The sequence below is a fragment of the Homo sapiens genome, chromosome 1 (genome assembly GCF_000001405.40).
Source record: "Homo sapiens chromosome 1, GRCh38.p14 Primary Assembly".
Lineage (NCBI taxonomy): Eukaryota > Metazoa > Chordata > Mammalia > Primates > Hominidae > Homo > Homo sapiens.
Window position 1 is genome coordinate 10,803,476 of NC_000001.11, and position 25,356 is coordinate 10,828,831.

At 53.2% G+C, this 25,356-nt stretch overlaps 1 long non-coding RNA gene across 1 annotated transcript, besides 6 other annotated features; it reads right to left on the bottom strand.

Moving 5' to 3' along the window:
• Window positions 406-978: an enhancer, noted in NCBI's record as "H3K4me1 hESC enhancer chr1:10863938-10864510 (GRCh37/hg19 assembly coordinates)". NCBI's record gives its function as "activates a minimal SCP1, AML or CMV promoter by ChIP-STARR-seq in naive H9 embryonic stem cells {active_cell/tissue: H9 hESC(naive)}" and the evidence as "EXISTENCE:reporter gene assay evidence [ECO:0000049][PMID:30033119]".
• Window positions 5,685-12,183, bottom strand: LOC105376733 (uncharacterized). The gene is made up of 4 exons (XR_946954.2): window positions 12,117-12,183; window positions 9,867-9,921; window positions 9,251-9,445; window positions 5,685-7,830 (listed from the first exon to the last, which is right to left on the bottom strand). It is a non-coding gene; the product is annotated as an uncharacterized LOC105376733 (long non-coding RNA).
• Window positions 10,587-11,087: an enhancer, noted in NCBI's record as "H3K4me1 hESC enhancer chr1:10874119-10874619 (GRCh37/hg19 assembly coordinates)". NCBI's record gives its function as "activates a minimal SCP1, AML or CMV promoter by ChIP-STARR-seq in naive H9 embryonic stem cells {active_cell/tissue: H9 hESC(naive)}" and the evidence as "EXISTENCE:reporter gene assay evidence [ECO:0000049][PMID:30033119]".
• Window positions 13,172-13,672: an enhancer, noted in NCBI's record as "H3K4me1 hESC enhancer chr1:10876704-10877204 (GRCh37/hg19 assembly coordinates)". NCBI's record gives its function as "activates a minimal SCP1, AML or CMV promoter by ChIP-STARR-seq in naive H9 embryonic stem cells {active_cell/tissue: H9 hESC(naive)}" and the evidence as "EXISTENCE:reporter gene assay evidence [ECO:0000049][PMID:30033119]".
• Window positions 20,977-21,494: an enhancer, noted in NCBI's record as "H3K4me1 hESC enhancer chr1:10884509-10885026 (GRCh37/hg19 assembly coordinates)". NCBI's record gives its function as "activates a minimal SCP1, AML or CMV promoter by ChIP-STARR-seq in naive and primed H9 embryonic stem cells {active_cell/tissue: H9 hESC(naive and primed)}" and the evidence as "EXISTENCE:reporter gene assay evidence [ECO:0000049][PMID:30033119]".
• Window positions 21,495-22,012: an enhancer, noted in NCBI's record as "H3K4me1 hESC enhancer chr1:10885027-10885544 (GRCh37/hg19 assembly coordinates)". NCBI's record gives its function as "activates a minimal SCP1, AML or CMV promoter by ChIP-STARR-seq in naive and primed H9 embryonic stem cells {active_cell/tissue: H9 hESC(naive and primed)}" and the evidence as "EXISTENCE:reporter gene assay evidence [ECO:0000049][PMID:30033119]".
• Window positions 22,531-23,046: an enhancer, noted in NCBI's record as "H3K27ac-H3K4me1 hESC enhancer chr1:10886063-10886578 (GRCh37/hg19 assembly coordinates)". NCBI's record gives its function as "activates a minimal SCP1, AML or CMV promoter by ChIP-STARR-seq in primed H9 embryonic stem cells {active_cell/tissue: H9 hESC(primed)}" and the evidence as "EXISTENCE:reporter gene assay evidence [ECO:0000049][PMID:30033119]".

Genomic DNA, 25,356 nt, shown 5'->3' on the forward strand with positions numbered 1-25,356 from the left:
GACTCAACCGCTTCTTTCCTAGTTAGTTCTAATTAATTTGCTTTTTCAGGGGTACTTATGTTTACCTCTGCCTGGTAACTACAAGAATTGCAAGTGACTAACATTTTCCTTTTAGGAAATTCCCTAGTCCCAGGGTCTCTGATCTCGATGGCCCCTTGCAGCTTTAACATTCTCTGAACTATCTACCTTTTTTTTTAAGAAAAAAGTTGTTTTAAATTTCTGGGGAGAAAAAAAAGGAGGGTAATTCACATTCTCTGCAAACAATTCAGGAAACCCAGTGAAATACAGAGATAAATATAATGCAGAGAATAAAAAAACACCCACCATCGTAGAGGCAGGTATTTGGGTGTGAATTGAACTTAAGAATTTAAAGAACGAATTGAAATGAAACCCTGCAGATATATCTTTTCGAGGCCCCCTCAGCAGCCTGCCTGGGAGATGTGTGTGGATAGGGGTGTCATTCATGCCAAGTGGTGAGGTGTGTGAATGTGATTTTATCTGTGTGGGAGGGAGTGTGTGTGTGCACTTGTGGAGGTGCGGGACTGCATTCCCTTTAAAGAAGGGTCCTGGTCCATGTAGGTGTGGCTGTGCTGTATTTGCACATGGGGAGACTGCTTCTGCTGTCAACAGCCACCCAAATACACAGCAATCCAGCCAGGTGAGGGGCAGGGCCGATGCTGACATCACCTCTTACCCGAAGATCCTGGGCCAACACCTTAACCCCTCCCACGCCTGCCAGGGTGGGGCAGGCCTGGCCCCAGGGCCTGTGGAACAGGGAAAAACAAGTGATGGAAAAATCGGAGGACCAGCCTCCCCACTGTCCTCAGAGCAAAGCCACACTCTCACAGCCGTGTGGTCCCTGCCACGTGCCACATGGGCCCACACAGCCCCTGCCCCTTTCTCTTCCCTCCCACCTCTCCCAGATCTGATAGCAGAAGCCAAAGGGACTAGTCATGGTGGTGCTTTGTCTTGGGATGCGATCTTGCCAGAAGTTGGTGTGGAAAGGGAACCTGCCCTGGGACTCCGGAAGTGGCTATGCTTCCTCCCGACGGGCACCTGTGCAGGCGCCGGCTGCCACCCTTGGCTGGCGTCACATGGAGGGCGGGGCTGGCCATGGAGGCAAGAAAGAGCTGTTTTGCTGATGAGCTGCCCTCCTGTCACACGGGCCGGAGTGCCAGGTCCCTGGATGTGGGTGGGGGAGGAGGAGGACTGCCCTGCTGTGCCAAGCTGGCCCAGATGTGAGCGACAGCCCGGCCTGCCTCTCCCCACTCCCACTCACATATTCACACACCCTCTGCTCCAGCCACACGGATCTCCAAGCTACCCCGCTTGCTCCCAGCTCCAGACCTCTGTCTAGACTGTTCCTTCTGCTCTAAGGCCTTTCGCCCCTCAGCTCACCCATTAAGACCAAAACAGGTGGCACCTCCTCTGGGGAGCCTTCCCTGATGTCCCTCTGCCCCAAATTGGGTTAGGCGCCTCTGTCTGTGCCCCCGTAGCCCCCTTGTTTTCTCCATCATAGCATACGTTATAACTGTCTTCTCCCTAAACCCTCCCATTAGATGGTGTGTGTGTGGTTTTAAAATCTATGTTTAAATCATCACTGTATTTCTTTTCTTTTTTTTTTTTTGTTTTTTGAGACGGAGTCTCACTCTGTCACCCAGGCTGGAGTGCAGTGGTGCAATCTCGGCTCACTGCAACCTCCGCCTCCTGGGTTCGAGCAATTCTCCTGCCTCAGCCTCCTGAGTAGCTGGGATTACAGGCACCTGCCACCATGCCCGGCTAATTTTTGTATTTTTAGTAGAGACAGGGTTTTGCCATGTTAGCCAGGCTGGTCTCGAACTCCTGACCTCAGGTGATCCACCCGCCTCGGCCTCCCAAAGTGCCGGGATTCCAGGCGTGAGCCAACGCACCTGGCCTAAATCATCGCTGTAGTTCTGAATTAGGTCACATGGGTTCAAATTCAGCTCTGCTACTTACCAGCAGTGTGACTTTGGGCAACTCCCAACCTCTCTCAGCCTCGGTGTCCCCATCTGTAAAATGGCAACGAAACCAGGATCTGCCTCACAGTATTGTCAGGAGAATTAATTGAGATAATTCATGCAGGGCACTCAGCCTGGATTCACACATAATGACTGTTGTTATGATTATTTCCAGCATCCAGCAGAGTGCTTAGAAAATGACAAGTGAACGAATAGTCTCTCTGTGCTCGACGTGTATGCGTGTTGGGGGATGTGTGGTGTATGTCAGGGCATGGGGATGGATAGGAAACCAGGACCTTCCAGGAGGCAGGTCCCGTATGAATGTGTGTGTCCACTCTGAAGGGTAATGGGCTCGTTATTTATGGTCAGGGCTTAAAAAAAAAAAAAAGAAAAAAGACAAACCAGTGTTCAGTAATGACAAAGTAATTACCTTTTTATTATTTTTTCAATAGGATTCAGAGGAGTGTGGGTCTTGGCTGCGGCTTGGCTTCCTGAGGCTCTGTGCTGTCTCCGTGCCCACTGCCCTGCCAGAGAAGAGGCTGGGTGGGAGAGGTCCGAGTGGCGCTCCTCAAGGTGGAAGGGGTCAGGGACCAGGGAGAGGGGCCACCCAGTTGACAAAACAAGAACCCCAGGCCGGGCATGGTGGCTCACGCCTGTAATCCCAGCACTTTGGGAGGCCGAGGCAGGCGGATCACCTGAAGTCAGGAGCTCGAGACCAGCCTGGCCAACATGGCAAAACCCCGTCTCTAGTAAAAATACAAAAATTAGCTGGGGGTGGTGGCGGGTGCCTATAATCCCAGCTACTTGGGAGGCTGAGGCAAGAGAATAGCATGAACCTGGGAGATGGAGGTTGCAGCGAGCCGAGATGGCGCCACTGCACTCCAGCCTGGGCAACAGAGTGAAACTCCATCTCAAAAAAAAAAAAGGGAGAGAGACCCAGAGGTGAAGTTCTCCCAAGCCCTGGCAAGGTGTCCACATCGAAGGCGCCAGACCCACAGCCTAGAACATTGAACAGAGAATGGTTCAGAATGAAAAATTAAAGCCCAGAGAGAGGAAGCCGCTTGCTCACCAGTGACCCTAGTGACCATGCAGAGCTAGTGACAGAATGAGAACAGAGCCTGGGTCCTCTGGCCCCAGCCAGGGCTCTTTCCCACCATATGACTTACTTGAAAATGGGGTCTGCCTGGCCCTGGCGCTATCCCTCAAATTTCAACCAGGAGGGAGGCCTCTTTTCTAGAAGGTGATTTTTTTCAGAGTCCTTCAAGGAGTTGTTGAAGACATAATTTCAGGGTGCCAGGACTCCCACATGTTAACTAGACTACACTGTGATTGACGTTAGCTATCCAGCAAGTGGCCATCCAGGGTGCCCTTTTCCACTGGCCAGGAAGGGGATGAAATCAGCTTTAGCCTCTTATGCATTTATCCATCTATCCATCAAATAATCGGTCTATCCACTCACTCAACATTTATCCATCCATTCATCCATCTATGCCTCCAATAATCCATCCATCTATCCCTCCAATAATCCATCCATCCACTCACCCAACCTTTAATCTATCCATCCGTTTACCCATCTATTCATTTATCTACCTTCCATTTTTCCATCCATCCACTCGTCTATCCATCCATCCATCATTTCATCCATCCACCCGCCAATTCATCCATCCATCCTTTCATCCATCCACCCGCCAATTCATCCATCCAGCCAGCCAGCTTCTATCTTTCCATTCATCCATCCACTAATCCATCCATCCATCCATCCACCCAACCTTTCATCCATCCATCCATTCATCCATCTATCCATCTATGTACCCTTCCACGCATCCACCCACCAATTCACCCATTCATCCTTCCATCCATCCACCCTTCCATCCATCCACCCACCAATTCATTCATTTATCCATCCATTCATCCATCCACATATCTAACAAACATTTGATGAGTGACCCCATGTTCCAGGCACCTTGCTAGGACCTGAAGGTCTGGAGATGCAGAGATGCACAAAACAAAAAATTGGGAACAGCCAGTGGAGAAAATCCAGCGGCATAGGAGGCATCTCAAAGACATCTAGAGATAAGTGCAGGTAGATGAAAGCTGACTTGACAGGGAGTCAAGCCCCCTGGCTTCCAGGCCCAACCCTGTCATTAACTTGCTGGAGAGTCTTAGATATGTTCCTTCCATGTTCTCTTTGCTATGGTTTCTTCCTCTATCACTTGAGAAGGTTGGACTAGCTCAGAGGGCAGGCAGACATTATCCAAAGAGCCCCTGATGAGGAGTATTTTGAGTGAGAGGTTGTAAAGTGCCAAGGGGACAGGGAACAAGAGTTTCTTTGGTTTTCAGTGAGAGAAGGAGGACCAGAAGATTCTGAAAGAAAAAGAAGGAAGAAATGAAGTAGGGGGGAGTCTGTTCCAGCTCCATGCTGCTGCAGATCTTCAAACCATTCCTCTGATCTTCTGCCCTTCCTTGTCAGTCTCTGGATCTGGGGGATCCGATTCCTGATAACTGACAAGGCCCCTGGCCCTTTGTCCTCCCTTCCCCACCTCCCAGCCCCAGCCTCCCCGCAGCTGTGATAACCCACACGTAGCACTTTACCCTCTGGAATTTATTTTAAGGTCTTGGCTTGTTTATTTATTTTATTTAGAGATTTCTCGGCGCTTCGTGGGGAGGAAAATTCGAATGGGGTGATTATGAAATACTATTTCACCTCGCTGTTCATTCACAACAAACAAAGAGAAATGATTGGTGATTAAAAATGCATTCTCTCTGCTTGTTTTCTTTTGTTTTACCATTATGGAAATATTATAAATACTGAATACTAATATGGACCTGCGGGGACCTCACAGACCTTCCAGAAACCAAGTCTCCTGTTCTTCCTTGGGGCAAATTCATGCTGTCCTCTGGGGCCCCAAACTAGGGCTCAAACCCCTGCCATTGCTCTGGTCCCAGACCAGGCATCCCTATCACCCTGGGCAGCCCCATTCAGTCTTTCCTGGACTGGGACAAGAGTCTCCTCACTTCCTTCTCCTGGTTCCCTGTTCAGCAGAACGTAGTCAAGGAGAAGAGGGACATGAATATTAAGAGCATTGGCTTAGTCCCAAAGTCACCATTCGTGGAGTTTTCCTCCCAGAGTCAGGCTGCCCGAGCCCAACGCCCTGCTCCACCACTTCCTGGCTGTGTGATCTTGGGCTCCTTGCTTGACCTCTCTGAGCTTCTGTTTCTTCTTCTGTAATATGGCAGTGAAAATGGTACCCACCTCATACGCTTGCTTTAGGGATTAAATGGGATCATAACATCTCATCTGATCATAGCGAACAGAATTGCTTAGTTAATGCTGGCTCCTATACTCAGTCGTATACCCTCTCCCTTTCCTGGGTCTCAGTTTCTCCCTCTGGAAGGTGAGAGCTATGTTGGTTGCCCTCTGAGATTCCCCCAGCTCCGGTGGGGTGGAGTGAGGATGTCCTCACCCACCTTGACTCTCTCGGAGACCTTGTTCTCCTTCCTGGGAACGCAGCCTGAGCCTGCCTCGTCGGAAGCCCTGGGACTCCTTCTTGGATTCTACTTTCTACCATCTCCTTTTAAGCCATAAAACTGGCACTTTCCCATTTATTTTCATCACAAACAAATAAATAAGAGTCAAAGCGCCCCGATCCAATTGCAAAGTGTTACATTGAGTCCGGATAAACAGCGAGTCCTGCGGTGTCCGCATTCCTTTTATCTTTCACTTTATTTAACCAAATTAACCGCTGTCCGTGTCCCCTGCGTGTAAGTGTCTCTCTCTGTCATATAAAATACAATCACGCTTGCTTGCTACATGTTTCAGATACTTTATCATTAACATCAATTCCAGCCAAATTAGGAGTTTCTCCCAACATAATTGCCCTTCCCATTATCCAGCACTTTATTTTTTCAAAGCACTTTCCGACCATTAATTAGTTAACCCTTAGGACGCCCCAGAGCCGAAGCTCAATGTCACCCTCCCCGCCTCTAAGCTGGGAAGAGGGGATGGGGAGGGGTCAGGTGGTTTGTTGGAAGTCACCCTGGATGTGGGAGCTGGGGGCTAGGGCGGGACCTTGGAAATCCCCCCTCTAGCCTCAATTCCTGGCCTGGGCTGCCACTGACTTTAATCTGATCTGAGGCAGGTGGGGGTCCCCAACACCTTTAAATTTGATCTGAGCTGGCAGGGGGTCCCCAACACTTTAAATCCTCTAGATCTGGATCCTCACTATGGTTCACCAAATGAAAGAGGGAGCAGAATAAAAGATTGGCTGGATGGTGGTACCACCTTTGCTGGGCAAAGGGAAACCAAGACACCCATCAGCCAAAGAGACAAGCAGGTGCCATATGTGGGAGGCCCAAACCATGCAAACCATGTGTTTGCCCCCACCATCCACAAGCACTCACGGAGTGCCTAAGAGGTGCCACATGCCATGACCTCCCTCCTCCAGAATGTCATGAAGACAAGTGCCTTTGGTGTGACAGTTATGGTTACCAACAACCAAAGTAAGGGAAGGCTTGGGGGCCATCTGGAAAATGGAATCTCTCAGGCACCGTTCCAGAAGTGTTTGGGGCCCAGCTTGCTCTACAATTCTGCCAACCCTATTCCCTTTCCTGGCTAGGAGCAGTCGTGGTCTTAGTGGGTCCTGAGCTAGGTGGGCAAGTTAAAAACTTTGGAGCAGACGGCCTGGGAAGATTCAGGGGGAGCCCTCTGAGGAAAACAAAATGATTCATTTCTTGGACATGGTTCTGGCTCATCAAGATGAACTCTGCCTACGGCTGCTAGGGATACACTGTCGAACCACCAATATTTTACATTTACGGCCACTCCAGAGTCCTAACTTCTTTAATGATTTTTTTTTTGTCTTAAAATACATGAGCTGGCTCCCACAGGGACACTGCCAGGAACCTTCAGAGAGGTTTTCCAAGAGGCTCGTTAACTGGAGCATGGTGGGTTTTGCAAATCTTCAGTTTCAGCAGTTTACCTTCCCACCAGCTGCCCGGAGGCTGGGGCCGCTTGAGCTAAGGCAGCCTTGCAGATAGAACACCAGCTACCAGCCTGGGAATTTTCCCCTGCCTTCCTCCACTCTTTCCATGCTACTGTTCTGTGGGAAATCAGACTGCAGCGAGCTCTTTCAATCCAAGGAATAGACCTGCTGAGGCAACAGAGCAGAGCTGACCTTGCAGTCTCCACAGTCAGACACCCTGGGGTCTGAATCCCAGCTCTACCACTTACTAGCCGTTTGACCCTGGGCAGGGTGACATCTCCAAGCCTCAGTCTGTCAACTGGAAAATGCGGCTGTTGAGAGGGCAGAGTGAGATGAAGTACGTGAAGGTCTTAGCACAGCGCCTGGCCCATAGTGAGTGCTCAGCGTGCCTGAGCTATCATTTTGGTCAAGGAGCAGATTGTAGGTTTTATTGTGAATTTCATTCCTCCAACCTTCTGCTTTCATTTTGTCTCCATCTCATTTCTTTCAGACCCTGGGTCTGAATATGGAAGCAGGGTGATGTGGTTAGATAACACCCTGGTTCTTAAACTCTTCATTTCATGGAGGGGAACAGACACAGAAAGGAGGAGAAATCTGGTTGGCCCCAAGTCCCCAACCTGCCACCTGAGACAGGTTACCTTCCAGGTGGCCCTCATGCTGTGAAGTCAGCTCCCTTGCCAGTCACCACTAGCACCGTGAGAGGAGGATAATGTCTGGCCCATCCAGGGTTGTAACCACAGCTCCTATCCACGCACTTGGCTTGCAGCAGGTGCTTTACTGCTACCAGCTGAATGCTTAAATTGTCCCTGGAAGTGCACTCTTCTTCTGGGTTGGATAATTTTGTGTGTGTCTCTTAAACTTCTGGAACTCTGTGCAAATAATAGGTAATAGCTTGAAACAGTCAAAAACCACGGGGAACTCTTTACTCAATTGCCACTGCCTTTATAGTTTCACTTAAAAGTCCTACGGAAACCTTTACCCACCATATTATAAACCCCTTGCAGGAAAAGACTCAAATTCAACTCTGCACCCACTATGGTCCTAGCACTAACTTTTGCCCATGAGAAAAATACATGCCATAGGCCAGGCACAGTGGCTCACGCCTATAATCCCAGCATTTTGGGAGGCCGAGGTGGGTGGATCACCTGAGGCCAGGAGTTCAAGACCAGCCTGGCCAACATGGCAAAACCCCGTCTCTACTAAAAATACAAAAATTAGCTGGGCCTGGTGGCACACACCTTTGTAATCCCAGCTACTCGGGAGGCTGAGGTACTCATCTTCCTCTAACCAATGATATTCCTGCAATCACACACTCATTTGTTTATTTATTCACTCTACACATACTTACCAAGTGTCAGGTTCAGCTGAGCTGGGTTTGAATCTTGGCTCTACCACTTACTAGCTAGGAGAACTTAGGCAAGTGACTTAACCAGGCCAAGCCTAGTTTCTTCCTCTGTGAGAGGGTAAGAGTTGATGAGACACAGTGACTGCCCATTGCTCAACACAGTGCCTGGCACATAGTGGGCCTGGCATACATGGTGGTTTTTGTTTTGTTTGTTTGTTTTGGTTTGGTTTGGTTTTTTCGAGATGGAGTTTTGCTCCTGTTGCCCGGGCTGGAGTGCAATAGTGTGATCTCGGCTCACTGCAACCTCTGCCTCCTGAGATCAAGCGATTCTCCTACCTCAGCCTCCCGAGTAGCTGGGATTACAAAGGTGTGTGCCACCAGGCCCAGCTGATTTTTGTATTTTTAGTAGAGACGGGGTTTCGCCATGTTGGCCAGGCTGGTCTTGAACTCCTGGCCTCAGGTGATCCACCCACCTCGGCCTCCCAAAGTGCTGGGATTACAGGCGTGAGCCACCGTGCCTGGCCTATGGCATGTATTTTTCTCATGGGCATAAGTTAGTGCTAGGACCATAGTGGGTGCAGAGTTGAATTTGAGTCTTTTCCTGCAAGGGGTTTATAATATAGTGGGTAAAGGTTTCCATAGAACCGTTAGCCAATTTTGACTGCTAAATAACATAATTGCAGAAGTCTTATGACATGTTATCAATTTACAGAGCACTCATCTGGAGACACTGTCTCCTGCACAATTGCTAGCCTCGTTTCACACGAGGAAATCAAAGCTCAGAGAGGTTGTGCGGCTTTCTTCAGGTCACAGAGCAGAGCCAATCTAAGAACCTCAGACTCAGTTTCTAGCACCCTCCTCGACCCCCTGCCACTACCTTCTTGCTCGTACTCTGCCTGGCTCCCCCTTCGCTGCCACACCGCCAAATGACATCTTTTACTTACCCAGGGGTGGCCAGGGGCCTTCAACAGCAGGCTGGAGTGGTTGCCTGGCACTCTGCGGGATTGAGATACCCCCAGGCAGACCCACCACGGCCATGGCAAGGCAGCCACACTACTGACTCCAGCAATGCTGCTTCTGTGGCAGCAACCATGGAAACCGCCCAGTCCTGGGGCCCAGCAGTTCCTGGGCCATAAGCACTAGGAAAAAGAGGGTCAGAGTCAGCCTGGCCTTCCCTGAGGCTCCCACCACCCTTCCCCTTCTAAGGACCCATTGACACCCTCACCCCATGTCCTCGAGTCCCAACACTGAGTGGGGGAGCCCTCCCGAGCAGTCCCTGTGGCCCTGCCCAGAGGCTGGCACAGCACTGGCAGCCAAGGGCTGGAGCCACCTTCCCAGACTGGTCCTGTGAGCCATGCTGGGCTGGAGGTGGGGCCCCCCTGCAGCCCCCAGCCCAGTTCTCCTGGGGCCATTACCCCTCCTGCCACCCATAGTAAGTGCTGAGGGCTTTGACTTACAGCATCTTATTTAAGCCTCACCCTCACCCCTTTGAGACAGAGTCTGTCATCATCCCCATTTCATAGATGGTCAGAGTAAGGCTTAGGGGGTCGAGAGACTTACTCAACTCTGTGCCCCAGGAACCCAGCCCTGTGCTCAGCAGGTCCATAGTAGACATCTGAAAGAAGTTTGATGAATAAATAAAAACATAACCAAGAGGGTGGGCGCATGAAAGATGATAGTTCCTGTTAATCAGGGCCTGCCATGTGCCAGCCACGTTCCGCAGAATTTCTACATGCTAGCTTGTTTAATCTCTGTAGGCATCCTGTGGGTAGATGCCACCCCATCAAACCCTCCAGACATGCACATCAAGACCCAAGGAGATGAAGAAGTGACTCCGTTGGGGGCACACAGGTAGCAGGTGATGTGGGTGGGAGTAGAACCCAGGCAGTGTGGCCACAGAGCCTGCCTGGTTACACCTCTGTGCCACAGTAAAGCTCCTGGGAGGTAAGTAAATGGGGGGAAGATGAGGGTTTGGGGGTCCAGGTGCTCTGCTCCCACAGCAGCGAATGTTCTCAGCCTGCATCCAGGCAAGGGGAAGCATTTCCTCTAAGTCCTGACCGCTCTCCCCGGCACATTCCCACCGTTACCTACACAGGGAATTAAGACTCAAATCCTCGTTTGACACGATGCAGGAGGATGCTAAGTACTTAAGCGCTAATTAATTAGTGAGCTGTACACGCTGCCACCAGCCGCCGGAGGAAACCTCAAACAGACCCCCAGAGTGCCAGCGCCCTCCCCGCCACGGGTGCCAGCCAAGCCCGGGGACAGTGAGGAGGGGACCACATGGGCAGGCCCAGCCTCTGGGGAGAAAAGTATCCAGACCAGATCTGACCCTTGCCTTCCAGTCCTCAGGAACCTGGGAGAGGGCTGGAGTTTGGAGACCCTGCCATGCCTCAGCCTTGGACGGGACTCTCTCACAATGAGCAAGCCAGGGTTTGTCCGACTTTGCAACAGGCTCTCCAAGGAAAAGCAAGATCGCAGGGGCTGCACTGAGCCCCAGTACTGGGGCCAGTTTCTGGGGCCCTTTAGACAAGAAGGAAGCATTGAATTCCCCCAGACCAACTGGTGTGTGTTTTCAGGAGCTGGACCAAGAGGTCCCCTGAAGCCAGACACGCTGACAGAGCACCAGCTCAGAGTAGGGCGCTGTCCGCCTCACTGGATCTTGATTTCACCATCTGTGTCATGCCAAGGTCAACTTCCCAGATGGGGCAGATGGTAACTGAAACCTAGGGCTTTGGACTCAGACTGCACCGGACTCTCTGCTCTGCCGCTTCCTAGTTGCATGACCTCGTGCAAGTCAGGTCCTGAGCCTCGGTTTTCTCGGCTGTAAAATGGGACTAATGAATCTCCGCAAGGCCTGTTGTGGGCATAAGTGAGATGCTACCTGTAAAGCTCCTCTTATGGTGCCTGGCACCTAGTGATCGCTCAATAAATGGTTAGCTGTATTAGTATGAACGGTTGCTGTTTTTGTTATTATCATCATCGTCTTCTAAGGAATCTTCCCATTTCATTCTCTGAGGCCTGCAGAGTGAACAATCACCCCGATTTGCTTGAGATTCTACTGGTTTAACACTGAAAGTCCCATGTCACGAGAAACCCCGCAGTCCAGCACAAGCTGGGACAGTGGATCAAACTCCCAGTTGCCCCCAAGGAGGGTGGAGGGAGGGAGAAGAGACCTGACATTGTGGGCCAGACAGTCTCTATGACGCCTTCACCCCAGGGTGGGACTCACACAGCCTCCAGGACCTGAAGCCCCTCTGCACAGGTGGCTAGACCTCGGGGAGGGCCAACTAGGGGACCTGGAGCGCTGAAGGATCTGTGGGTGGCAGAGGCCGGGGCCCTGGCCTTGGAGCTGTGGCTCTGATAGTGTTCCCAGCCTGCATCAGCTCTGAGGCCCTGCCTCCTGCAATATTTGCTTAACAATCAGCCCAGAAACTGCATTGTTCAGGACAGAAATGAAAAACATTAGGCTGGGGCTTGTTTTTCTTCCCTGTCCAAATTCTTCTGGGCCCTTGGGAGAGGAGACCGTATCTTGGCACCACCCTCTCAAGAACAGGCAGAGGCGGGAGTGTGAACTCCTGGGTTCAATTTCCCACCTCTACTAACCTAGGAGCTTGGGGGCAGGTCCTGAGTTTCCCCAAGTGCTCAAGAGGGGGAACTTCAGCCTGGGAGCTTACTAGGGCCGGAGAATCTGTGGTTAAGCTAAAATAGCTGTCACCCCATGCACTCTTACTGAAGCCTCAAGACCATCCACGGAGAGAGTCTCACTCCCATTTTATAGATGAAGGTGTTGAGGCTCAGAGCACTCACCCCAACCAGCATGAACACCAAAGCCAGTCCGTGGAGGCGGAAGAGTGAGCGGCTATTTGGCATCTCAGGGGAGCCAAAGGCTTCTGAGAAATGGGCCTGGTCTGTTTTGTTTGCTGGCTAAACACCTTTATCGAGGGCTGAGGAAGTAGGCGGGACGAAGAGGCAGAGGGAGCCCTGCACCTTTCTCCAGAGTCGACACCTACCAGCACTCTTGGGGGCCCTTAGAGAGGAGGGCTGCCCTCTGTGCCCAGTGCCCACTTTCCCCAGCTCCAGCCCAAAGGGGTAAGAGCCCTGACAGGCCCCTGCCCCTGCTCGGCTCCCAGCTCTTTCCCTGACACCCACAGGAGGGGGAGGAGGCAGGCGTGCCTGGCTCACCTGCCAAGGCTGGCAGCCTGGCATGCAAATGGGTGTGGGGCAGAGACTGAAGGTGCCCAGACAGGGGTGTGGGCACCTGACAGAGGCCAGGCAGGGTCAGGCTGGCTGCTGGAAAGGAAGGTGGGCAGGTGCTCCCAAGCCCCTCTGTGTTCCGGGCATGTGAAATGCATCGTCTTACGTCCTCACAGAAACCTCAGGAGGTGGACTTGTCCTCATCTCTGTGTTCTGGGGTGGTGGGGAGGAAACTGAGGCTCAGAGAGGTCACTTAATGGCAGAGCTTGAATTCAAACCCAAGCCTTTCTGACTCTCCCCCTGACACAACCCACATCAGCCAGATGGCATTAAGAGACAGCTCCAGGGTCAGGCCTCACACATTCAAATCCTGACTCTCCCATTTTACAGCCGCTGCAGAAATTACATCCTGGGCCTGGGCCTCCGTTTCTTCATCTGTAAAATGGGTCACTAACACGACCTCTTCATAAGGTTATCATGAGGGCACATGAAATCGTGCATGAAAAGTGCCAAGCACGTACTAGGTGCCTGACGGGGTAGCCATTGCTATCCCTATCTGTCATCCGTGGAATCACCTTACTGCTTTATGACACAGGCTGTCTCTTTAAAAGCAGCAAGACTGGCAGGGGGTCCTACACTGGAACCTGGTTCCCTGTCGCTCCCCACCCTTATTCCTTGGAAGATACTTGTTATTCTCAGCCTCCGTTCTGGCCCATTCTAAATGCCCTGGTCTTGCCAGGACTATGCGAGATCATATTTGTCTGTGGCCTGAGCAGGGATACCCTGATGGACCCTCATTCCCACAGATGCCCACTACCCTTCCTTGTCCATGGTGGGGAAGGGGCACTTCGGTCTGAGGCCGGGGGCCTGGGTTTGCGCCTCAGCTCATTGTCAAACTCAAGCAAGAGCCTCTCCCAGCTCTAGGCCTCTAGGCCGCTACCCTAAGTAGCTGCTGTCCTTGGTAGGGGAAGAAGATTTGAGAACTCATGCCCTGATTGCCCTGCCTGGGGCGACTGGGGGGCACAGTTCCTGTCTGCATCTATAAGCCCTCGGGGTCCCAAGAGGCTAAGATGTAGGAGTCCCAGAACGAGCCGGAGGAAGAGGAGAGGGAATTCTGCCGCCCAGGCTCCCCTGGGATTCTGCAGCCTCCTCCTTGATGGCTGCTGGCCCTGCCCACCTGCCGTTCTTGCAGTGGCAAACCTGAGCCCACAGTCCCCTGCTCAAAGCCCATCGGAGGCTCCTGGGGCCTGCAGGGCCTGGTCCAGGTCCCTTCACATGACTCGCAAGGTCCCACCACCCTCTCTGGCCTCACCCTCTCCTCTCTTCGCTGGGGCTCCCCCTCTCCAATGCACTGGCCTGCACTCACTTCCCCAGGCCCAGGTGGTCTAGCCCCCACCTTTGCCCCTGCTGTGGCTTCCCAGGGAATGCTCTTCCTACCTGCTCCCTGCCCCCACCCCTCTGTTGTAAGGTCTCAAATGAGACAGCACCTTCCTGGCTCCTGCCTCCCTAGCCTTGACCCCCCTGCAAGTTCCCAGAAACTCTGGCTTTTCCTGCGTGTAGGACATCACCTGGTCCCTGTCTTCAGAGAAGGACATGAAGCAAGCCCACTGGTACTGGCACCTTCATTCAGCTCATTCTTCAACCAGCAAGGATTTATTGAGCACATACTATGAACAGCTGCCAGGGCTGAGCCTGGGGTGCTTGCGCCCCTGAGGACTGGAGCCCTCAGACCCAGGGGGTATGGGTGGAAGAAGAACTTGGCTATTTAGAAAGGGACTCTAGGAAGGCACATGTCATCTCCTCTCCTCCAGGCCTGAGAGCATATACAAGGCCAGTACCATGAGCTAATAATATTTTACTTTTCCCCGTAGAGCACAGCATTGGGCTTGGCATACAGTAGGGGCTCAACCAATGCAGGCAGAAGAGAACTGACAGATGATAAGGTTTTCTTTCTTTCTTTCTTTCCTTCCTTCCTTCCTTCCTTCCTTCCTTCCTTCCTTCCTTCCTTCCTTCCTTCCTTTCTTTCTTTCTTTCTTTCTTTCTTTCTTTCTTTCTTTCTTTTTCTTTTTTGAGACAGAGTCTTGCTCTGCCGCCCAGGCTGGAGTGCAGTGGTGTGATCTCGGTTCACTGCAACCTCCGCCTCCCGGGTTCAAGTGATTCTTGCACCTTAGCCTCCCAAGTAGCTGGGATTACAGTTGCCCCCAACCATGCCTGGCTAATTTTTGTATTTTTAGTAGAGGCAGGGTTTCACCATGTTGGCCAGGCTGGTCTCAAACTCCTGACCTCAGATGATCCACCCGCCTCGGCCTCCAAAAGTGCTGGGATTATAGGCATGAGCCACCGTGCCTGGCCAAAGATAACCCTACACCAGGAACTTCATGAGTTCCAGGAGGGAAAGGCAGACTAGTGTGTGTTGCAGCAGGCAGGGAGGGCTTCCTGAGGGAGGTGCTGAGAACAGGGCCTTGAAGCCCGTGGAGGCTCAAAGTAGTTGGGAGGGAGGAGGGCGGATGCTTTCTAGGGATTGTGGAGACCAGGATACAGGCAACAGGAGCAAGAGGCGTGAGGTTGAAAGCAGGTGGGAGGGGTGGGGCATCTGTACAAACATCGTGGGTGATGTTTAGGAGAGTGCCAGGCTGTGCCTCTGGCCACCACCATACCTAAGACCCCTAAGTCTTGCTCTGGCTGGGGGTGACTGCGGGCCACAGTTCTTGTCTGCAGGGAAACCAATGGCTGCAGTTAAAGACAAGGCTGCCCTCCCCCCAAGCTCCAGAGACTGGGGAGTGCCCCGGGCAGGGCTTGCCCAGACCTGGCACTCCAGCTGCACCCTCCGCCCTGGGACATCTTGTACCCAGGAGGACCTATTAAAGGGACAAAGGTCCCCATGGGGTGCAGGCACCCCAGGCTCAGCCCTGGCAGCTGGCCCGGGCTTGGGCTGCAGCAGGAACCCCCACTCTCAGCTCTGCCATGTCAAGGCTCAGGGCAGAGAGGGAGGGATCTTGGTCTCAGGTCCATCTCCCTTGGGGCAGAGCCACCCCAGTTGTGTGAGGACGGGACACTGCCTGGCAGGTGCTCTCCCTCTGGCAGGGCACAGGCCGCTGGCAGTATGTACAGCACTTCAGTCTGGATTCTGGGATCCAGCGGTCTTGAGTTCGAATCCTGATTTTGCCCCTGCCCAGCGGTGTGAACTTGGGCAAGCGACTTGACCTCTCTGAGCCTCAGTTTCCTCATCTCTGAATAAAACAGGGTTAAGAATAGTCCTGGTTATTCATGATCCAGTGAGAACCTGCCCCAAACACTGCAGAGCATGACGCAAAGTCAGTGTTCAGTGAATGGGAGCTGCTGCTTGCTGTTCTTGGGAGAGAGGGATGGGCAGATGGGCACCACAGGAGTCCTTGGGCTCTTGTGGCAGGTCCTGGAGGAAAGGAAACAGCTTTGAGAGATGTGTAGAGATGGGAGGCTGCGTCCCCTCCCTGGAGGTGCTCTGGGGACCCAGCCAGGTGTGGGGGTGATGAGGGTGTTGGTAGAAGCCCCATTGGGTGGGGGAGTGGGGGTGGTCTCCTCCACAGAGGCCTCCTCAGGTAGCGCAGGCCATGGGCTTCTGTATTGCTGAATCAGGGTGTGGGGGCAATCAGCTGGGTGATTGTCGCTGAATGTTATTATCCTTGATAAGAACCAGATTAAACGGGGGAGGGGGCAGAGGGGAGAGAGGGCGGAGAGAGGGGCGGGAGGGCGAAGGAGGGAAGCAAAGTGCAGCCTCCCTCTTGCTGAGCCAGCCCTTGGCTGCTCTCGGGCTGGTCAGGGCCCAGTTAGGACCCCAGAGTCAAGCTCCTTCCAGGGGGCACTGGGAGGGGCGGGGATAGAGGGACTCGTGGGTGAGCTGCCAGGCGTGGGCCAGGCTGGCCAGCGGAAGGAGAGGTACAGACCTCCCACGCCGAGGGTGCCCACACAGGCCCCAACTCTGGTCCTCGGCAGCCAGCCATCACCTAGGGCTGCCTGCTGAGACGCCCCAACCGGGGACAGGAGCCAGTGACCCTGGGAAAACCAAGCCCATGCTGCCAGCCTCCGTTTCTCCACCAGTAAGCTGTGTGATGAGTGTGCCTCCTGCAAGGCTCAGGGTGAGGAGGAAACAAGGTGGAGGGGGCAGGGTGTCGGCCACACAGAGACACACCTCCCTCCTCCCACCGCATCCTTCCACAAAATCAATGACGCTCTGACGCCGTCTTTGCCCGGCTTTGCCCTTGTCCCTTTCCCTCTCTTGCCATCATGGGGGCCTAGCTGGGGGACCCGCTGACCCTCTGCCCCATTCTTTCCAAGCCTCCGGATACTTCCCCACCGTGGGAAGCAGGCAAGGCCCAACGTTCCCATTTTACAGATGGGGAAACTGAAGCCTAGAGAGGGATAATGGCTGCCCAAGACCAGAGTTGGAACCCAGGAGTCCCGGCTCTCTGTCCAGGGCACTTTGACCTTCTTGGCCAGCCTCCCCGCCACTCTGACACCTGGCTGGGGTGGGGGCCTGGCCTAGAGGGCCCCAGACTGCTGGGGTGTTGGGCTGGTGTGACTGAAGAGCCCCCAACCCCTGGAGGTGTCTCTGCTCCGGGGACAGGACTCCCTAGGACGGGCCCCACAGGCATTCCTGGCCATCAGGGAAGGCTATAAAAAGCAACACTTTTCAGCCCCAGAGTGTGACCTGTGTGACTTCACAGAATCCAGGGAAAAACACAGATAACCTTGGGGAGGCCTGACCTTCAAGAGGGGTGGGAACAGGAAGGGGGCACCCCGGGGCCGCAGCTTGGCCTGGGCTGGGGACGGGGCCTGGGGGTACGGTGTGAAATGAAGCATGGAAGCTCACTGGAATAATGATAATAATCACCGCTATTATTTTATTTATTTATGTATTTATTTTGAGACAGTCTTACTCTGTTGCCCAGGCTAGTGTGCAGTGGTACAATCTCAGCTCACTGCAACCTCTGCCTCCTGGGTTCAAGCAATTCTTGTGCCTCAGCTTCCCCAAGTACCCGGGACTACAGGTGCCTGTCACCACACGCAGCTAATTTTTGTATTTTTAGTAGAGACGGGGTTTCGCCACATTGGCCAGAGTGGTCTCAAACTCCTGACCTCAGATGATCCGCCCACCTTGGCCTCCTAAAGTGCTGGGATTACAGCCATGAGCCACCGCACCCAGCCTGCTGTTATTCTTCTGTGGGCTACTGGTATTCAGGACTGGCCACAGGCAGGCTCTGTGCATCAACTCCAGGGTCCTCCCCACTCCCGAAAGATGGATCCTAATGTAATACCCCATTTGACAGACCAAGGGATGGAGGCTTAGAAAGGACCAATAATCACACAGCGCGTAAGGAAAGGAGCTGAGCTTCACAGTCCCCCACCGCGCCCCACTCAGCACACTCCGTATTTCAGCCACGCCAACACTGGTTCTTCTTGTCTTGGGACCCTCATACTAGCTGCTCCCTCTGGCTTGAGAGCTTGTCTCCTCTCTTTGCCAATTAAATGCCTCTCTGTCTTTCAGAGTTCAGCTAGAACTTCATCTCCTTAGACAGGCTTTCTGGACAACCTTGCTCATTCATTCACTCATTCATTCAGCACATATTTATTGAGCACCTACTATGTGCCAAGCCCTGTGTTGAGTGCTGGTGACACAGCAGTGACCAAACTAACAAAATCCCTGGCCTTAAGAAACTAACATCTGAGTGGATCATTAATTGTGAGCTTCACTAGCAGGCAGAGCTGGCCCCACTCTGGGGAGATGAAGCCCTGGGATAAACTGGCACGTCTTCCCAATCCATCAGTTTCTTTCTTAAATTTTGGGTGGGGGAGCATTAACTTTTCTTTTTTTTCTTTTTTTTTTTTTTTTTTGTTGAGACAGAGTCTTGCTCTGTGGCCCAGGCTGGAGTACAGTGGCACCATCTCAGCTCACTGCAACCTCCGCCTACCGAGTTCAAGCGATTCTCCTGCCTCAGCCTCCCGAGTAGCTGGGATTACAGGCGCCCGCCATCACACCTGGCTAATTTTTGTATTTTTAGTAGAGACGGGGTTTCGCCATGTTGGCCATGCTGGTCTCAAACTCCTGACCTCAAGTGATCCACCCGCCTCGGCCTCCCAAAGCGCTGAGATTATAGGCATGAGCCGCCGCACCTGGCCAACTTTTGTTTTTTTTTTTTTTTTTAGAGACAAGGTCTCACTCTGTCTCCCAAGCTGGAGTGCAGTGGTGTGAACACAGCTCACTGCAGCCTCGACCTCCTGGACTCAAGTGATTCCTGGCTCAGCCTCCCTTGTAGCTGGGACCACAGGTGCTTGCCACCACACCTGGCTAATTTTTAAAAATTTTTTGTAGAGATGGGGTCTCACCATGTTGCCCAGGCTGGTCTTGAACTCCTGGTCTCAAGCACTCTCCCCCGCTCGGCCTCCTAAAGTGCTGGAAATCAGGTGTGAGCCACCACGCCCGACCTGCATTAACTTTTATTTAAGCAACACAAATCCCTTATGGAATAGCACATCAAACTTACATAAACTTGTAAGAGATACTCTAGACTGAAGGGGGCCCTTGGAGCCACCATCAGGGCACCCTGGGTAGCGGCCACCCTTAGTTGGGGGAGAAGGTTTGAGACCTCATGCTCTCATTGCGCTGCCCCAGCCTGAGAAAACCAGGCCTTCAGAGCACTGGGCTAAGGGCTGAATTTCTCTGGGCTACCCTCAGAGCAGGGAAAGTCAGAAGGGTCTGAAAGCCAGGAACCCCGAGTTCCAGCCAGGGCTCTTACTCTGCCTGCTGTGTAACCTTGGGCAAGTCACCCCACCTCTCTGAGTCTTTGTTTTCTTGTGGGTAAAATGACTGGCATATAATAGAGCTCTGCTAGGATCCCAGCAGGCCCTACAAACCTGTCTGATTCTAAAGCCAAGTTCGGCTGGCCGGCTTCGTGCAGTTCTACATCCTCTTCCGGCCTCCTCTCCTCTTCCGTAGGCTTCCTTCTCCTTCCCTGCCTGGACAATGCCCCCAACCCCATCGGTCCTAGTGGTACCTCCAGCCCAAGCCCCAGCTGCAGGCAGCCATCCTGCCCCACCCCTCCCCGGGTTCTGAGGAAAGAAAAAGGAGAGGCAGAAGGAAGGTCACATTTCTCGCTTGGCTCGCTGCCTGGTTTTCATCAGGCCCGCTGCCTAATTTTCCTGGGCGGCACTCACTTTCTTGGCCAGTCTCTCCTCTTTCTTAACCATCTCAGGGCAAAGAGCTGTCTCACCCCCGGCCCCCTCGCCTGGTATCATGGCCTGGCGTTGTTCCTGCCATGTCACCGTGGTGCGTCTTGCTGCCACGTCAGCCCACACCTCCTTTTCCGGAGTCCCCAGGGACAGAAAGCAGCGGCTCAGCTGTACCCAGACTTGATTCATAAGAACACCAATTATGATCATACGCATTTATTGAGCTCTTACTGTGTGCCACGGTCTGTGAACTCAGTGACTTTCCCCAGCAGCCTAATGAGGCTGAGACCCTTGTTTATCATCCCCGTCTTATAGGTAAGGAAAGCCAGGCTCAGAGACGGTAAGCAGTGGAGCTGGGACCTCAAATCAATATCTCTAACCACCATGCCATGTCGACTCAAAGAGTCTTTGAGGTCGGGTGCAGTGGATCACGCCTGTGATCCCAGCACTTTGGGAGGCTGAGGTGGGCGGATCACTTGAGGTCAGGAGATTGAAACCAGCCTGACCAACCTGGTGAAAATCCCATCTCTACTAAAAGTACAAAAATTACCCTGGCGTGGTGGTGCACACCTGTAATCCCAGCTACTCGGGAAGCTGAGGCAGGAGAATCGCTTGAACCTGGGAGGCAGAGGCTGCAGTGATCCTACCACTGTACTCCATCCTGGACAACAGAGTGGAATTTTGTCTTAAAAAAAAAAGAGAGAGTCCTGGAATGTCCTTCTCTTGGCTGAACGTGCTCCCCAGCATCCCCCACCATTCCAACACACACATACTTGTCTTGTAGATCTTGCTGTCAGTTCCAGAACGGTGCTTTCCTTAAAAATAGGGAGTCAATGCCCCCAAAACAATGCCCTTGAGGCAGTAGGCTCTGGGGGACCCAAGCCATTTGAAAGGTGAGGGAGATGAGGCTGCCCAGGCAGGACCTCTGGGCCCCAAAGCTGGTTTCTGCGGATACCAGGGGCCAGGCAGCTTCCTGGGAGTGAGATCAGCTGCAGATGGAACCACAGGGGCACTGAGCTGCTGGGGAAAGGGTGGGGAGAGCCAGCGTCTTCATGGGGATTCTCTACTCCCTAATCTAGGAGATGCAGGGCCAGAGAGCTGATGCTGGAAGTGAATTAGTCCCCACCATGGACTGAACTCTCCTGCGGGCAGAGATCCGTAGAGGGGAGAGGAAAAGGCTGTACTTGGAAGTTGAGCTTGTTGTCCTAGCTTGATGGAGGAGACATGGGCCCTTTGTTGTCCTAGCTTGATGGGGGAGACACAGGCCCTTCCATCTGAAGAAGAAGTGAGCGTGCTGCTCCCGGCAGCCACGCTGCTCCACCCCACCCCGACCCACCCCGATTTCCCCCAGCACCCAGTCCTTGGCAGGTACCAGTGGGGCTGCCTGGCTCCTCAGGGACCAGGCCTGCGATAAAAATCCTGCAGTGGCAACTGCAGTGATCAGAGTCAAAAAAAAAAAAAAAAAAAAAAAAAAAAAAAAAAAAAAAAAAAAAAAAAAAGAGAGAGAGAGACAGAAAGAAAGAAAAGGGGAAAAAAAACCCTCTAGTGCCTGACATTCTTTTTAGGATGCCCATAAAAGATAATGTGACCTGTAAAACCTGCAAGCTGTTCCCAGCCTGTGGCGCCCGGCCCCACGCCCCACTCCCACTCCCAGCTCCACTCTCCTGCCCCCAGGCTGAGGACACTACCGTGGGTGTCCCCTGGGGCCCAGGCCCTCTAAGCATCAGGGACCCTCAAGCTGCGGGAGGCAGCTGCCCTGAGGCACCACAGTCTGGCCAGGTGGGCAGCGGTTGTGAGACCCTTCCCCACTGCCAGTGCACCCCCCTCTTCGGCACCCCCCTTCAACCGTTCCTGGGCGCTCAGGTCAGCAGGGCTGCTGCTGCCAGGCCGGGAGGTGGGAATGTGCTAGGGCAGATCCCGGCTCTCGTTCTCGGGTGAGTCACCCCGTGGGAGTGTGTTGACGAATCCGAATCCCGGTTCTTTGTTTTCAGCTCCTGGGAATTCACACACTGGGGGCAGACACTCCATCCCCTGGTCTGCTGCCAGGTAGGGTGGCAAGATGGGAGCCGGTAGGCCTGGGGTCTATTCCCAAATTCGCCACCAATCGGCTGTTTGGAATCTTGATAAGTTCTGAGCAGCTTTGGGGCCTCAGTTTCTCTACCTTTAAAATGGACATAAAAGTCCTGCCCCTTGTAATTTTGCAAGAAGATAATAAAGAAAAAAAAACTATATCATAGCAAGCATAGTTCTTGGGATGATGACGATAACCATCATTTACGGAGTGCCCTACTGTGTGCCAGACACCATACTAAAAGGTTTATAGTTAATCCTCCCAACAACAGTAAGAGGTCTGTGAGATCACTATCTCTTTTTTAAAAGAAGGAAACTGAGGCTCAGGAAGGTAGAGTAACCTGCCTGAGGCCACATGACTTACACACCCAACTACCAGGCTCACCGGCTACCCACAGTGGAAATTAAGGACAGCCCTGCAAATGCCAGGCACATGATCATGGGGCTGGCTGAGCCCCTCCCCTGCCATCCAGGAGGCTGAAGGTGGGAGTTTCCTTCCACGGCTTCCTCTCCAGATGATCCACCCCTGCCACAGGTCCTGATGGGACTCACAGCAGGACCCTCCACAGCCATGCCCCTCTGCCCCGGACCCAGAGAGAACTCAGAGAGGCCTTGGCTCCTCCCAGCACCCTCCTGTGGGCAGATGGGGCTGAACTCTGTGTCCTAAAACCCTGAGGTGCACACGTCACAACCAGGGAGCCTTCCAGACGGGCAGATCTGCCTTGAGAAGGGCCCGGCAGCCAGGTTTCCCAATTTCCCTGACTTGACATCCTTGCCCCATCCTGGGGACCCAGCACTTTCTTGGAGCCCCACAGCTTCCTGAGGGCAGGCCCCAGGTACACCCTTCCTTTGTAGGGTCCACAACTCCAGGCTTTGCTCCTAACCTCCTCACAGCCCCTCTCCTGGGGTCCACCAGACATTCCTCGGCACTCCTGTTAGGCAGTGAGGCAAGGTTTAAAATACTCCCTCCCCGGCCGGGTGCAGTGGCTCACGCCTGTAATCCCAGCACTTTGGGAGGCCAAGGCAGGCAGAGCACTTGAGGCCAGAAGTTCGAGACCAGTGTTGCCAACATGGTGAAAACCCATCTCTACTAAAACTACAAAAATTAGCCAGGCGTGGTGGCACATACCTGTAATCCCAGCTACTCGGGAGGCTGAGACAGGAGAATCACTTGAACCCGGGAGGTGGAGGTTGCAGCAAGCCGAGATCGCGCCACTGAACTCCAGCCTGGGCGACAGACTGAGACTCTGTCTCAAAAAAATAATAATAATTTTTTTCTCTGTCTCAAAAAAATAATAATTTTTTTTTTGAGACGGACTCTCACTCTGTTGCCCAGGCTGGAGTGCAGTGGCATGATCTCAGCTCACTACAACCTCCGCCTCCCGGGTTCAAGCGGTTCTCCCATCTCAGCCTCCCGAGTAGCTGGGACTACAGGCGCACACCACCATGCCCAGGTAATTTTTTGTATTTTTAATAGAGATGGGGTTTCACCATGCTGGCCTGGCTGGTCTTGAACTCCTGACCTTGTGATCCACCCACCTCAGTCTCCCAAAGTGCTGGGATTACAGGCATGAGCCACCGTGCCTGGCCTATAATAAATTTTTTTAAATAATAAAATAAAATACTTGCTCCGTGGGCAGAAACCCTCGGTCCAGTGTTCCTGTCCCCCTCTACATTTTCCTAAGTACTCTCATTCACGTGTTCCAATCCCCAATGTGACGAGACAGCAACGGCAGTGCGTGTCCTGGGCCGAGCATGCTACGTGTGAGGTGCTGTCCTTACGGTTGCTCATTTCACCTCCATGTACAGATGAGGAAACTGACACTCTGGGAGGTCAGGTGGCTTGCCCAAGGTTACACATTTAGTGCATGGTAGACCCAGGATCCAAACCCACATCTCTACTGGGCACGAAGGCCCTGGCTCTTAATTAGTACGTTTCCTTTCTGTCCCACCATCTGCAAGCCTTTTGCTGTCTGGACCAGAGCAGCCCGGTCCATAGCTCTTATGAGCGTCCAGTGAAGCTTCCTGGGTAGATGAACTTACTGGACGATTTTTGAATGTGTGAAAGCACAAATGAATGAATGAGTCAACAAATGGGTGAGTGAATGACCTCAACTCTCACAATAACCAGGAAAGATGGGCAGCTTCTTCCCCATGTATAGGAAATTGAGGCTCAGAGAGAGAAAGTAACATGCTTGAGGTCACACAGGGAGTTGGGGGCTGTGATGGGAAACTCAAGCCACCCAGCCAACCACGGGCCCCTGCCACCTCCCTCCTTCCCCCATGGTCCCAGCCACGCTCCGAGTCCAGCTCTGTCTCCGGTCCCCGAGGGAGCGAGGCGGCGGGCACAGCGTCTTTAAGCTGCCCTTTCAGGGACGAACCAAGGAGGGGGCTGGGGAGGGGGGCTCCACCTAGCATGCAGGGCCAGGAGCCCACACCCGTCTCTCTGAGATGGGGTCAGTGCGGGGGGTCTTTCTCTGCAAGCACTTACGGCACAATTGATGGGAGAGATGCTCATCAAACGAGGGACAAATCATAAAGTTCGGGAGATGGAAATTAGGCACGGACAAACGATCCAGGTGCAGGGGAGATTTATGGGGGAGGCTGTATTCTAGCTAATGATTTCTGCTAATGATTCTCCGAAGTGTACAGTGGCACGGGGCCCACGCTCCGTGGGGTGACATGTACCCTGCGGGCCGATGAAGGACGTTCCTGGGGAGACGGCAATGGCGAGGGGATGGGGAAGAAGGGTGGAGGAACCCCCCCGAATACCGGGGTCCCCCGGAGTGGCGGGAGGAGACGGGGTTCTTGGGGTGTGAGTAGGCCCTGCCTGAGATTTATCGCTGGACCTGGCTCCTCGGTCCTTTCTCCACTCGCCCTGAAAGTGCCTCCCTGCCTGGCAGCTCCGAGTGTTGGCGGGGCCTGCCCGCTGCTGACACACACATTTTCAGAGCCCACCGCCGTCTTTCATCCCAGCAGCCCCCGTGACAGACGCAGGTTTCTGGCTGTAAACCGTCCCTCCCTGCCCCCTTTCTTCTCCCCTCCCCGACCCTCTCCTCTGCAAGAGCTGTCCCCTCCAAAAGACCACTTGCGCCTCCCACCCCACTTCATAGCCCTTCTCTTCCACTGGTAAGTTTCAGTGTCTCTGAGGCTGCCGCCTCCGGAGGCCCCAGCCAGAGACTCCCCCAACATCTGGTCCTGAAGCGCTCAATCCATTTTCCTCCATCGCCAGACCCAGGGACGCTGACACTGCCCGCTGGGACAGTACCTCCCAAATCTAGCCTCAATCCTGCTTACAGCAGAACGGGTGGGGACCTCCTGTTTCTGTGGCGAGGCCCTCGGGGAGTGGGAAGCTTCTGACCTTCAGATCCATGACCAGGAAATGTTCAAAGGAGCTCATTCCCGGGGATCAAATCACCGGGAAACGACGTTTGCTTTTTAGAACCTTGATGTGTTTTCTAATTTCCCCGCAATGAACGTGTGCGTGTGTAATTTTTAAAATGGGAAAATTGGCAGGTGTGAGGATGAAGGAATGGAGGTGGCCGGAGCACCCCCCACCCCGTTGCCCAGGCCGCCC